This window comes from Homo sapiens, chromosome 5 (genome assembly GCF_000001405.40).
Source record: "Homo sapiens chromosome 5, GRCh38.p14 Primary Assembly".
In the NCBI taxonomy this organism is placed as follows: domain Eukaryota; kingdom Metazoa; phylum Chordata; class Mammalia; order Primates; family Hominidae; genus Homo; species Homo sapiens.
In genome coordinates, this window is record NC_000005.10 from 104,711,439 (window position 1) to 104,727,117 (window position 15,679).

A 15,679-nucleotide genomic window follows, 5' to 3' on the forward strand; every position below is an offset into this window, starting at 1 on the left:
AAACAGTCTATTTGCCTGGAAATTGAAGCAGATAGCACTTCAAAGTTTGGGTCAGTGATATAGGTAGTCGTGTGTGGCAAATAAACAGCTTTTTAGTCTCAATGGTATAATTGCTTTATACGATCTGTGAGTTTTATACTTTTAATGTGCGTTTAGGACAGGAAGTATCATCCTTTCATTTCCATGTTTAGAACTCCTTTGAGCATTTCTTGTAGAACCAGGCCAGGGGAGATGAATTCCCTCAGCATTTGCTTGTCTGAGAAATACTTTATTTCTACAAATATAAAGCTTGGTTTGTCAAGCTACAAAATTATTGACTGGAAGGTTTTTTGTTTGTCTGTTTGTTTTCTTTTTAGAGGACAAAATAGGATCCTGGCTTGTAAGGTTTCTGCTATGAAGTGCACTGTTAATCTGATAAGATTTCATTTATAAGTTATTAGATGCTTCTCTTTTGCTGCTTTTAGAGCTTTTTCCTTCATATTGACTTTAGATAGTCTGATGACTATATTCCTTGATGAGGTTCATCTTGCAAAGTATCTCCCAGGTGTTCCTTGAGCTTCTTGTATCTGAATATGTAACTCTGTAGCAAGACCAGGGAAGTACTTCAGAAATAGTCCCTCAAATAGGTTTTCTAAGCTTGTTACTTTTTTTTTTTTTCTCCCTCAGGAATACCTATAACTAGTAGGTTTGGTCACTTTACATAATTCCATATTTCTTCGAAGCTGTGTTCATTTCTTAGAATTCTTTTTTAGTTATTTCTGACTGGGTTAATTCAAAAGGCCTATCTAAGCTCTGACACTCTTCTGTTTGGTCTGGTCTGCCTATTGTTAAAGCTTTTGACTATATTTTGTAATTCCTTCAATAAATTTTTCATGTCTAGTTCTGTTTTTTTTTTAATCTATCTCTTTAGTAAATTTTTCATTCATATCCTGATTTGCTTTTTTTTTTTAATTTCTTTGTGTTGGTTTTCAACTTTCCTTTGGATCTCATTGAGCTTCCTTACAATTCATATTTTACATTTTTTATCGGTCATTTCACAATTTTCATTTTGCTTAGAATCCATTGCTAGAGGGCTAGTGGGACCTTTTTGGGGTGTCTGCCACTCTGTCCCACTTCCTGCCTCACCCTTCATGCAAGTCCTGGCTGGTGGGCACACTGCCAGTAGGGTGCAGCCACCGCCCCCCATAACCTTGGACATGTTTTCCTAGGTGCATCCATCCCAAACCCCAGTGGAAACAGCTATGGCCATATGTGCAGCAGTGGGTCGGGCGTAGATAGAAGTTCCCGTATCCATGTCTGCTCCTGGGCACTGGTGCCACCTTTCTGTTGGTGTAGAACTGTACTCTTTTCCTGTAGAGCCCAGAACTGTACCCATGTCTCTGCTGGGAGGGATGCATTTACCTTCTTCTCACAAGCGGAGAGATCTCTGGCAGAAGAGAGCGCACAATTTCGTTTCCTTTCTCCCAGAGGGTGCTTTGGTATGCTGCATGCTTCCCCTAGAGGCAGCCTATGCTGAGGGTTGAACTCTAGGAACATGCAGCACCCCAGGGTCCCACCAGCCCTTTGCAGTTGTCACAGTCTAAAATAATTCTGGGAAATATTTGTGGAAGATATAGTGATGCAAAGACATAAGGGCTGAGAATTCCTGGGCAGGATAGAGGCACACAATTGATGCACAACCAGTATGGTGCCCTCTACCTCAGCTCAGGTGTTGGGGGAAAGTGAGTGAACTTATGCCAGCTGGCCACCCAGCATTCTGCCCTCAAGAAGTTCCCAAATTGCCACCCACAACAATACTTGGGCTAGCAAAGAAAGAGGTGCTATCAAATAGTTTGGCAGTCAGCAGTCTCCTGAAGGAGTTAGGAGAGCAAAATACACCCCCACCTGCCCTTTCTACTGGACTCTGAGTTCCACAGGGGTCAATCACTGCTAAACTCTTGCTTCCTTCTTTTTCTGCACCCCAGATTCTTCCCATGCATTCTCGGATAGGTTCTGGCACTGTTCCTTCAGTATTTCACTCAGACCATGATTATTCACTTGCAATTTTGGTTCTTCTCTCTGTAGACAACTGGCATCCAATGTCTCTAGTTAGACATCTTGGATTAAAACAACAGCAAAAACAAAAATAACAGAAACAGCTTTTGTTAAAAGACGGGCTTTCCCACATCAGATCATATCAAAGGATCCAATACTGGTTCTAGTGGTAAATTCAATAAAGTTGGAATAATTGCCTTATCATAGTAATTCTAGTGTTTGTTTACATCACTCTTGAAAAGCTGATTGTCTTTGAATATCACTATGGGCTCCATAGCAACTTGAGAAGACAAAAGAATAATCAGGGAGCATCAACCTCAATTGTCACATTGAACCTTCAGAATGTGTTCAGCATCAGAGGTGACGGTGAAGCAGTTCTCTCCTTCTCAAGTTCTGTCAGCCTGTAAGCACCACATCAGATACCAAAGTGTTTTCTGTCAAATTGAGGTGATCGTCCAGCAAGATTTCAGTGAACATAAATAAAGAACACTGTTGGAGAACAATGGTTTTTTGACTATTTTTTCTTGTCCCTCTTAATAAAAAAGGTAGCTGAAAGAATGTGTACTTCAGGGAGATTTTTATAATTCTGCTGAAAAGACAAGGGAATCAGATTAAATATATGTCTATATAAGACAGATGTTCAACAAAAATTAGGTGACTGACTAAAGGCTCTTTTCTCTTAGTGTTTATTCAGAGGATTGACATGTCAGTTCTCACCAATCAAACAGGGTTTAAAGCATAGAAGTCCCTTTCAGCTGTGTTTCTTCCTTCCAGTCCCTCCGTTTCTTCCCAGTTTTCCAGTCTCCGAATTACTCTGATCAGAGGCCTGCTAGCAGCTTTTTGGGATTCCTTGTAGAGATAGGCTGTACTATTCTATTATACTATATAGGCATATATTCATATTTATCGCTCTTATTTTCACTTCACAAAATAGCTTAAAGTTTGTCGAATATCAGTTTGTAGTGAGTGGTCCCTTTTTTCCCCAGTGTGCAGAAGATAGCATTCTCTTTTATGAATTACTATAATTTATTCAACCTATGTTCTCCTAATGACATTTGGGATTTTCTCAAATTTTGCTATAATAAAAATCCTGTGATGGATTTTTTTTTTTTTTTTTTTTTTTTTTTTGGTGGTGGTGATGTTGATTCTGTGACAGAGTTTCTCTGTGTTGCCAGGCTGGAGTGCAGTGGCATGATCTCCGTTCACTGCAACCTCCACCTCCTGGATTCAAGTGATTCTCCTGCCTCAGCCTCTTGAGTAGCTAGGACTATGGCGCATGCCACCACACACAGCTAATTTTTTTTTCTTGTTTGTTTTGTTTTGTTCTGTTTTTTGTTTTTATTGAGATGGAGTCTCCCTCTGTCGCCAGGCTGGAGTGCAGTGGCGCGATCTTGGCTCACTGCAACCTCTGCCTCCCGGGTTCAAGCAATTCTCCTGCCTCAGCCTCCAGAGTAGCTGGGACTACAGGCAACCACCATGCCCAGCTAATTTTTGTATTTTTAGTTGAGACGGGTTTTCACCATGTTGGCCAGGATGGTCTTGATCTCTCGACCTCATGATCTGCCCGCCTCGGCTTCCCGAAGTGCTGGGATTACAGTCGTGAGCCACTGCGCCCAGCCGCGATGAATGTTTTTAAGCTCATTTCTTCATGAATATGCGTGATTGCACCTACAGTGTATGTTTTAAGAAGTACATTTTCTGAGTCAAGGAATATGTCCATCGAAATGATGATAAGTGAATGTGAGAGTGCTTTACAAGGAAGTAGAGCTAGTTACACTCCTGCTAACATGTATGAGAGTTTCACTTGCCTCACTGTTTTGAAATATTCAAAACTCTCATCTATAATCCTATCCTTCCTGCTAACTCCTCTGTTGGATACAACAGAGCTATTGATTTTTTTAAAAATGGAATGAGTCAGGAAACAGCTTCACCTAAATCTCCATCAACAGTATTTTCAATATAGGTTTTTCCTATGCATTGTAACAATAGCATTTTCATTGTTGTCAGTTTCCTGCTCAAATCTAAGTGTTTGGACATTATGGCCATACCAGCTGAGTTATACTATCCAAACAATAAAGGGATTGATTTTTTTCTCAGTGGCCTGCTCCTGACTACAATGGTGAATATTTTCCTTGCCAAAATACATGACGGGTTAGATGTGCTTTCTCATACATGGTCAGCCACAGCTCCACAAAATAACAGAGAACAGAAATTTTTATTCATCATTACCAAAGTATGCTTATACAGAGAAATGAATAAAAATGTATACCGATTTATGAGCATCCTATAAAGTCTACAGTTACTGCTATATCTTTCCTGATAAAGATTTGTATCTGAGGAAGCTAAAAGTATATACAGTACACTTTTAAAATAATCTCTTATAGCATTCAAATCAGTATTTGCCACACTACCCCCAAGAAATCAAGCTAGTATCAGAGCCAAAACACATTGTTAAACAGCATTGTCCATTACTTGAATAATTTGAAGATTGATGTCTAGAGAAATGTTGAAAATAAATTGCTTTAAAGGACTATCTGGAAAACCCAAAAGGCAAACTTAGAAGTTGGTTTTGTATCTTTGTATATCGAACAATTTTTTTTTAGTTTTATTTTTAAATGTCCAGATCCTGTCAAATGAACAAACTCATGCAAAATGTCAGATCTAGTAATTAAAAACTTGAACAGACAGAATCTATGAGGAGTAATCATAAAACCCACCATCCCTTTAAATATCATGAAGCTCAATTTCTGGTTAAATTTACTAATTAAAACTGGTTTTTCCTCTTTTTGTGAATTGTAATCGTGCAGTTTAAAACTTTTCTGATCATTCCTGAGTAAAACAAAGTATCAATCCAAAAATTAAAATTTCTAAGCATGAGTGATAGTTAAATCTTCAAACATATTTGAAATTGAGGACACACCTTTCCCCCATATGCAAGAAGACCGAAGGTTGAGAAATGGATATGACTGGCTTCTTCTCTCATCTTGGTCCATTGTTAGGAAGATTCTATACCAGCTTTCTTTCTCAATGTGTTGCCAGGAAACATACTAATTATTTGGCCAAACCGTGGAGAAAAACTGATTGAAATGCTCTGTTAAAGTAGCTAGGCTGCCTATGGCATGCCCTTTAGAATTTCCAAGAAGTTTGGTTCTCAGATGCAGTTGGGTTCTCAAAATGTAGGGGCCGTAAAACTTGAAAAAAAAAAAAAAAACTCTGATTATTTGAATGATGAATTAACTTTACAACTCACTGATTAATTAAACAAGTTAACAGAAATATCTACTCCGTTTTCAGTTACAGAGTTTAGAGCCATTTTCTTTTAAGTCATCATTGAATAATATTAAATCCCCTCTTCCTTTCTTATCTACCATGGTAAATATTAAGTGGATGCATGTATTTCTCCCATTCCCCTCTTTAGGAGTTAACTTAAAGTGTGGGTTAAAAAGGGATGAGTTCTTTTAATATTCCCATAATGCCACTTAGAAAGATAATTTCCTGGTGTCCAAAACTGGCTTAGATGTTAATAAAAAAGCAGAACCACTCTGATTGCCAATTAAATTATAGTTTATCTTTATTAAGTAGAAAACAAAATAGATGTACTATAATAGTAAATTGAGGTGTTTGTGTCAACTGAAGGCTTACTTAAAAGACAATTAAATTATCCTAAAGGAGAAATTTTTCCAAATTCCGTACAAATGAGTATAATCTTGATAAAAAAACCTGACTATAACTTTACCAAAAAAAAATCAGAGCACTTTTATATTTGGTATAAGAAAATTCTTAATGTAATATTAATATACAGCTTATTAAAATGACAGCCCTCATAATAAGTTTTTTTTCAGGAACTTAAGAATGTTTTAATATTAGTTATCACTATTAATATAATATAAAATATTAATATTTATAAAAAATATATGATCTCTATAGAAACTAAAAATTCAGCAAAATTTTGGATAAAAATAAAAAAGAATATATATATGTATATACATAAAATATTTTACTTTATAAAATAGAGTATTCTCAGGCCCAAAGCCATCATCATGTTTTATGGGAAAATATTAAAGGCATTTCTATTAACGTAAAAAATGAATGACAAATGCCTACTCTCATTGCTGTTATTAAATATTGTATTTAATACAAGTCAACTCAAAAGAGAAAAACTTTGTAGAAAAAAAAGTAAGATGATTTACATGTGAATGACACAATTGTATGCCCGGAAGTCCCAAGAGAATCAGCTAAAACACTAATCCCAAAATAAAATGATGTTATAAGACTTTGTTAGGGGAGGAGCCAAGATGGCCGAATAGGAACAGCTCCCGTCTACAGCTCCCAGCATGAGCGACGCAGAAGACGGGTGATTTCTGCATTTCTATCTGAGCTTTGAAGAAAGCAGTGGTTCTCCCAGTACGCAGCTGGAGATCTGAGAACGGGCAGACTGCCTCCTCATGTGACCCCCGAGCAGCCTAACTGGGAAGTACCCCCCAGGAGGGGCACACTGACACCTCACTTGACAGGGTACTCCAACAGACCTGCAGCTGAGGGTCCTGTCTGTTAGAAGGAAAACTAACAAACAGAAAGGACATCCACACCAAAAACCCATCTGTACATCACCATCATCAAAGACCAAAAGTAGATAAAACCACAAAGATGGGGAAAAAACAGAACAGAAAAACTGGAAACTCTAAAAAGCAGAGCGCCTGTCCTCCTCCAAAGGAACGCAGTTCCTCACCAGCAACAGAACAAAGCCGGTCGGAGAACGACTTTGACGAGCTGAGAGAAGAAGGCTTCAGACGATCAAATTACTCTGAGCTACGGGAGGACATTCAAACCACAGGCAAAGAAGTTGAAAACTTTGAAAAAAATTTAGAAGAATGTATAACTAGAATAACCAATACAGAGAAGTGCTTAAAGGAGCTGATGGAGCTGAAAACCAAGGCTTGAGAACTATGTGAAGAATGCAGAAGCCTCAGGAGCCGATGCGATCAACTGGAAGAAAAGGTATCAGCAATGGAAAATGAAATGAATGAAATGAAATGAGAAGGGAAGTTTAGAGAAAAAAGAATAAAAAGAAATGAGCAAACCCTCCAAGAAATATGGGACTATGTGAAAAGACCAAATCTACGTCTGATTGGTGTGCCTGAAAGTGATGGGGAGAATGGAACCAAGTTGGAAAACACTCCGCAGGATATTATCCAGGAGAACTTCCCCAATCTAGCAAGGCAGGCCAATGTTCAGATTCAGGAAATACAGAGAACACCACAAAGATACTCCTCGAGAAGGGCAACTCCAACACACATAATTGTCAGATTCACCAAAGTTGAAATGAAGGAAAAAATGTTAAGGGCAGCCAGAGAGAAAGGTCGGGTTACCCTCAAAGGGAAGCCCATCAGACTAACAGTGGATCTCTCGGCAGAAACCCTACAAGCCAGAAGAGAGTGGGGGCCAACATTCAACATTCTTAAAGAAAAGAATTTTCAACCCAGAATTTCATATCCAGCCAAACTAAGCTTCATAAGTGAAGGGGAAATAAAATACTTTACAGACAAGCAAATGCTGAGAGATTTTGTCACCACCAGGCCTGCCCTAAAAGAGCTCCTGAAGGAAGCGCTAAACATGGAAAGGAACAACTGGTACCAGCCGCTGCAAAATCATGCCAAAATGTAAAGACCATCGAGACTAGGAAGAAACTGCATCAACTAACGAGCAAAATCACCAGCTAACATCATCATGAGAGGATCAAATTCACACATAACAATATTAACTTTAAATGTAAATGGCTAAATGCTCCAATGAAAAGACACAGACTGGCAAATTGGATAAAGAGTCAAGACCCATCAGTGTGCTGTATTCAGGAAACCCATCTCACATGCAGAGACACACATAGGCTCAAAATAAAAGGATGGAGGAAGATCTACCCAGCAAATGGAAAACAAAAAGGCAGGGGTTGCAATCCTAGTCTCTGATAAAAGAGACTTTAAACCAACAAAGATCAAAAGAGACAAAGAAGGCCATTACATAATGGTAAAGGGATCAATTCAACAAGAAGGGCTAACTATCCTAAATATATATGCACCCAATACAGGAGCAACAAGATTCATAAAGCAAGTCCTGAGTGACCTACAAAGAGACTTAGACTCCCACACATTAATAATGGGAGACTTTAACACCCCACTGTCAACATTAGACAGATCAACGAGACAGAAAGTCAACAAGTATACCCAGGAATTGAACTCAGCTCTGCAACAAGCGGACCTAATAGACATCTACAGAACTCTCCACCCCAAATCAACAGAATATACATTTTTTTCAGCACCACACCACACCTATTCCAAAATTGACCACATACTTGGAAGTAAAGCTCTCCTCAGCAAATGTAAAAGAACAGAAATTATAACAAACTATCTCTCAGACCACAGTGCAATCAAACTAGAACTCAGGATTAAGATTCTCACTCAAAACCGCTCAACTACATGGAAACTGAACAACCTGCTCCTGAATGACTACTGGGTACATAACGAAATGAAGGCAGAAATAAAGATGTTCTTTGAAATCAACGAGAACAAAGATACAACATACCAGAATCTCTGGGACGCATTCAAAGCAGTGTGTAGAGGGAAACTTATAGCTCTAAATGCCCACAAGAGAAAGCAGGAAAGATCCAAAATTGACACCCTAACATCACAATTAAAAGAACTAGAAAAGCAAGAGCAAACACATTCAAAAGCTAGCAGAAGGCAAGAAATAACTAAAATCAGAGCAGAACTGAAGGAAATAGAGACACAAAAAACTCTTCCAAAAATTAATGAATCCAGGAGCTGGTTTTTTGAAAGGATCAACAAAATAGATAGACCGCTAGCAAGACTAATAAAGAAAAAAAGAGAGAAGAATCAAATAGACACAATAAAAAATGATAAAGGGGATATCACCACCGATCCCACAGAAATACAAACTACCATCAGAGAATACTACAAACACCTCTACACAAATAAACTAGAAAATCTAGAAGAAATGGATAAATTCCTCGACACATACACTCTCCCAAGACTAAACCGGGAAGAAGTTGAATCTCTGAATAGACCAATAACAGGATCTGAAATTGTGGCAATAATCAATAGCTTACCAACAAAAAAGAGTCCAGGACCAGATGGATTCACAGCTGAATTCTACCAGAGGTACAAGGAGGAACTGGTACCATTCCTTCTGAAACTATTCCAATCAATAGAAAAAGAGGGAATCCTCCCTAACTCATTTTATGAGGCCAGCATCATTCTGATACCAAAGCCTGGCAGAGACACAACAAAAAAAGAGAATTTTAGACCAATATCCTTGATGAACATTGATGCAAAAATCCTCAATAAAATGCTGGCAAAATGAATCCAGCAGCACATCAAAAAGCTTATCCATCATGATCAAGTGGGCTTCATCCCTGGGATGCAAGGCTGGTTCAATATACACAAATCAATAAATGTAATCCAGCATATAAACAGAGCCAAAGACAAAAACCACATGATTATCTCAATAGATGCAGAAAAGGCCTTTGACAAAATTCAACAACCTTTCATGCTAAAAACTCTCAATAAATTAGGTATTGATGAGACGTTTTTCAAAATAATAAGAGCTATCTATGACAAACCCACAGCCAATATCATATAGAATGGGCAAAAACTGGAAGCATTCCCTTTGAAAACTGGCACAACACAGGGATGCCCTCTCTCACCACTCCTATTCAACACAGTGTTGGAAGTTCTGGCCAGGGCAATTAGGCAGGAGAAGGAAATAAAGGGTATTCAATTAGGAAAAGAGGAAGTCAGATTGTTCCTGTTTGCAGACGACATGATTGTATATCTAGAAAACCCCATTGTCTCAGCCCAAAATCTCCTTAAGCTGATAAGCAACTTCAGCAAAGTCTCAGGATACAAAATCAATGTACAAAAATCACAAGCATTCTTAGAAACCAACAACAGACAAACAGAGAGCCAAATCATGAGGGAACTCCCATTCACAATTGCTTCAAAGAGAATAAAATACCTAGGAATCCAACTTACAAGGGATGTGAAGGACCTCTTCAAGGAGAACTACAAGCCACTGCTCAAGGAAATAAAGGAGGATACAAACAAATAGAAGAACATTCCATGCTCATGGGTAGGAAGAATCAATATCGTGAAAATGGCCATACTGCCCAAGGTAATTTACAGATTCAATGCCATCCCCATCAAGCTACCAATGCCTTTCTTCACAGAATTGGAAAAAACTACTTTAAAGTTCATATGGAACCAAAAAAGAGCCCGCATCGCCAAGTCAATCCTAAGCCAAAAGAACAAAGCTGGAGGCATCGTGCTACCTGACTTCAAACTATACTACAAGGCTACAGTAACCAAAACAGCATGGTACTGGTACCAAAACAGAGATATAGACCAATGGAACAGAACAGAGCCCTCAGAAATAACGCCACATATCTACAACTATCTGATCTTTGACAAACCTGAGAAAAACAAGCAATGGGGAAAGGATTCCCTATTTAATAAATGGTGCTGGGAAAACTGGCTAGCCATATGTAGAAAGCTGAAACTGGATCCCTTCCTTACACCTTATACAAAAATCAATTCAAGATGGATTAAAGACTTAAATGTTAGACCTAAAACCATAAAAACCCTAGAAGAAAACCTAGGCAATACCATTCAGGACATAGGCGTGGGCAAGGACTTCATGTCTAAAACACCAAAAGCAATGGCAACAAAGACAAAAGTGACAAATGGGATCTAAAGAAACTAAAGAGCTTCTGCACAGCAAAAGAAACTACCATCAGAACGAACAGGCAACCTACAAAATGGGAGAAAATTTTCGCAACCTACTCATCTGACAAAGGGCTAATATCCAGAATCTACAATGAACTCAAACAAATTTACAAGAAAAAAACAAACAACCCCATCAAAAAGTGGGCAAAGGACATGAACAGACACTTCTCAAAAGAAGACATTTATGCAGCCAAAAAACACATGAAAAAATGCTCATCATCACTGGCCATCAGAGAAATGCAAATCAAAACCACAATGAGATACCATCTCACACCAGTTAGAATGGCAATCATTAAAAAGTCAGGAAACAACAGGTGCTGGAGAGGATGTGGAGAAATAGGAACACTTTTACACTGTTGGTGGGACTGTAAACTAGTTCAACCATTGTGGAAGTCAGTGTGGAGATTCCTCAGGGATCTAGAACTAGAAATACCGTTTGACCCAGCCATCCCATTACTGGGTATATACCCAAAGGACTATAAATCACGCTGCTATAAAGACACATGCACACGTATGTTTATTGCGGCACTATTCACAATAGCAAAGACTTGGAACCAACCCAAATGTCCAACACTGATAGACTGGATTAAGAAAATGTGGCACATATACACCATGGAATACTATGCAGCCATAAAAAATGATGAGTTCATGTCCTTTGTAGGGACATGGATGAAATTGGAAATCATCATTCTCAGTAAACTGTCGCAAGAACAAAAAACCAAACACCGCATATTCTCACTCATAGGTGGGAATTGAACAATGAGATCACATGGACACAGGAAGGGGAACATCACACTCTGGGGACTGTTGTGGGGTGGGGGGAGGGGGGAGGGATAGCATTGGGAGATATACCTAATGCTAGATGACGAGTTAGTGGGTGCAGCGCACCAGCATGGCACATGTATACATATGTAACTAACCTGCACAATGTGCACATGTACCTTAAAACTTAAAGTATAATAATAAAAGAAAAAAAGACTTTGTTATGTAAAATTACTGTATATAAATTAATAATTTCCACATACAATATACTGCAAGAAATTTCCAACTTAAAATATTAATGACATATTTAGGAGTGTGTACAACATGAAGAATTCTCACTAAAACAAAAGAAATCTTGAAAAAAACAAGACGTTCTTGAAAAGAAAGACATATTAAAATAGATCATAATTATTTTTTAGGTAATTCATAAATTTAATATGATACCCATGAAAATACCAAACACTAGTTGGCTGTTTATTTATTTTACTAAACAAACTAATTCTAAATTTTATGTGAAAAAACAACTAAGAAAATTAGAGAAATTTTTGAAAAATAATGTATACATCCTAATTGTTTCATGTAATAAAACATTATAAATTTCTAATAATTAGATAAGTATAGTGTTAAGACATAAGCTTTCAGGGAGGACAATAGAAGAAAATAAAAATCATAAATAGGCCCAATCACATATGAGAATGTAGTAAGTGATTAACATAGCATCTCAGCTCAGTAGGAAAATATGTTATTTATTATATCAGACTCTGACAAAGGGACAGACATCTGAGCAAGAAAATAGGATTAATATAAATCTGACACCTTACAATGAGGTAAATTAAAAATGAGTCAAAGATTTAATCTAATCAGGAAATCCTTTCTAATGATTTAAGTCCAGCAGCATATACATATATATATTTGTGTTTGTGTGTATATATATATATGTAGAGAGACAGAGAGAGAAATAGCACATTTTTTAAAAGTTTGCATTAACAAAAATTTATAGGCAGATTCAAAGCATAATGATAAACTGAGGACAAGACAATACTCCCAATTTCTGTCAAATACAAAGTTCTATTCTCTCTAATATATAAGAATTACAAATATATAACAAGATGGTTAGTAAGAATGAAAAATAAATTTTAATTTTGACTAGGAAGTTCACAGCAAAAGAGAAAAATGGCTCTTAAACATACGATAAGCTAGTTAACCTCAATTCTAATAAGAAAACGGCCTATTAAAACAGTGCCTAAATATCCTTTTTTAGAAACTATGATTAGAAAATCCTAATATGTGTCAATTATGTACCTGTGGAGAAACAGGATACTCTCATACATTATCAGTACAACCTCTATAGATTACAAAAGTGCAAATGCATATACGTTTAACCCAGATATCCTACTTCTAGAATTTTTTCTAGATATATCCATGTAAGTACCTAACGATAAACTGTACAGTGGTTTTTATGGTCAACCATATGCATTAGCAAAAAGTTGGAGATAACATAAATGCTCAGTACATGCACGCTAGCAAAAGTTATGTACATATCTGTATAAAACAAAGTGGAAGCTCTCTGTGTATTAGTAGGGAACAATCTATCAGACATAGCAAAAAAAAGCAAAAGTTATAGTTATTATATAATTCAAAAATTATAGTTAGTGAAAAAAGTAAGAGTGCACCACATTTTTAAAAAAATCAAAAGTTATAGTTATTATATAATTCAAAACTTATAGTTAGTGAAAAAAGTAAGAGTGCACGACATTTTAATCACTAGCCACTGTTTGTGTAAGAGTGGTAAAACAAAATATATATTTATATTTGCTTTGATATAAAGGCACTCTAGGAAAATACCTAAGACATTAGCAACAATAGTATCTATAGTTGAGCATGGAGGGGAATCTAGGTAACTAAGCAAATTAAGTTTATGGTAGAAGAGAGATTTTTATTGTTAAGTGGTTTTTTGTTTGTTTGTTTTTGTTTTTTTAAGATGGAGTCTCACTCTGTTGCCCAGGCTGGAGTCCAGTGGCACCATCTCAGCTCACCACAACCTCCGCCTCCCAGGTTCAAGCAATTCTCCTGCCTCGGCCTCCCGAGTAGCTGCGATAACAGGTGCCTGCCATCACGCCCAGCTAATTTTTGTATTTTTAGTAGAGACGGTGTTTCACCATGTTTGCCAGGCTGGTCTCAAACTCCTGACCTTGTGATCCGCCTGCTTTGGCCTCCCAAAGTGCTGGGATTACAGGAGTGAGCCACTGTGCGAGGTCTATTGTTAAGTGTTTTTATATTTACTCCATGGGAACATCTTACCTATTAAAATAATCTATATTTTATATATATAGTGAATGGTTACTTCAAATGAGAGTCATGAATTGGCATATCTTTGTATTTCCTTAAAGAATCTGGTATGACAAAATTTCTATGGGTCACTCTTTGGAAAATGCTAGCTAGCATAGGAACAAGAAGGCTATAGTTTAAGAAGTATTGTGTCAATTAATTCAAACAAGTCATTTTACCTTCAGGACCTCAGTTTTCTTCTCTATACCTAAAGGGGTAATAAAAGAGGAGTTTCCAAGAATTCATCCAGGTTTTAAATTCTGTAAGTACAGCAGAGTACGAATAATTAAATCTTTACTCTTTCTAAGCATCAGCTTTCACAACATGGAATCCACTTAGTTACAAAAATGCAGGAGATAGAGAGTGGCCTCTAATTCCAGGACATCCCACCACAATTTTTATGTAAAATTCCATGATACCAATCTATATTGATGTAATTTTTCCACATAAAAGCTGTCAAAAACATTTAATATTAAAATCTTTTTATTTTTACTCTTTTAATCAAAGTGTATAACTCCGCTGAGAATACATAAAGTAGTGATGAGAGAAAAATGAATTTACCTGTCAGGAGCCTGTGTATTGATAAAATTCAGTATTTTTTATTCATATGTAATTTTTCATAATTTATGTTGCTCTCTTTGTTCTATCAGCTATTTTTGTTTTTTCTCTATTTTATTTCATTGGCCTAATGAATTAGGTAATATTGCGGGCTGGTGATAACTCATTGATTCCTCATCTACCCTTGGGTGTGTTCAACATGCAGTAACATTCATTCTCCCCCATAATGAGTTTTAAAAGGCAGTGATTCTGGAATAATTTCATTTACATCCTGAAAATGCAACCGAGGGTATGTAACAATAAGAGTTCTAATAAGATGAGAAGTTTAGTGTGCTGTTCACATTTGCCCCCTTTGCTACTTAAATCCAGAATTCTTCAGACCAGTGAATCAGAACAAGGAAACAAACTGAGAAGTAAACAGATGCCTGTCAGAACTGTCATGTTGTTTTCATGAGTATGATCTTGTTAGAAAGTTTGAATGAAATACACGGAAAAAAATGATAAATCTGACAAATCAGTCAATTCACAAATTCAAGAATGTACATGTTGATTATATAGCCACTTTTGCAGTTTTAATATATCTCAAGATTTTAGAAATCATGTTTTTTAAACAGAAAAAAAATCCCCAATGATTACTTAATGATTACTTATAAACAGTCTTTTAGTAACATACATTTAAGCATCACTATTCCTTTGGGCCAATGCAAGGCTATAGTAAGAATCTGAGATTTGAATGTCACTGATACTTGTTTTTATTTTTTGTATCATATCTACCATTTAGTAACCAAATATTTGACATTAGGGATTTTTAATTTTGTTCTGGTTCTTAATTTTAATTTTTGGTACAAAATAGATAATACTACTATATACCAAATAATATTATACAAATTATTAAATAATATAATACAATTTAAATAACATAGTGTTCTTGGCACATTATATACTGCATAAAAGGTAGTTATTACTATTTTTTATATTTTATTAAGTTATAACTGAATCAGCCTCCATCCTGATAAAATTATACATAAAGTGTCTAAAGTACTTAAAAATAATACGTAGCCAATGTTATTTCTTCTCTCTTTAAGAATGTTAAAAGGTACCAACTGCTATTTCTGGCCCACCTATATTTTTTTCTTTGCATTAAAAAAATGTATTGATAAAATGCGAGATTAAATTTTTTATTCTACAAAAGTTGAAATTAG

General features: G+C 36.5%; 1 long non-coding RNA gene across 10 annotated transcripts in view; it reads right to left on the minus strand.

The window, feature by feature from the left end:
• LOC105379109 (uncharacterized) overlaps nucleotides 1-15,679 on the minus strand; it is a 144,274-nt gene that overhangs the window by 81,909 nt on the left and 46,686 nt on the right. For 2 of the 10 annotated variants that reach the window (NR_188312.1, NR_188313.1), the window contains one exon: nucleotides 4,611-5,225. The exons of the other annotated variants lie outside the window; for them this stretch is intronic. This is a non-coding gene — a long non-coding RNA (uncharacterized LOC105379109). Of the gene's footprint in view, nucleotides 1-4,610; nucleotides 5,226-15,679 lie in introns of those variants that run through there. 10 annotated transcript variants of the gene reach the window in all.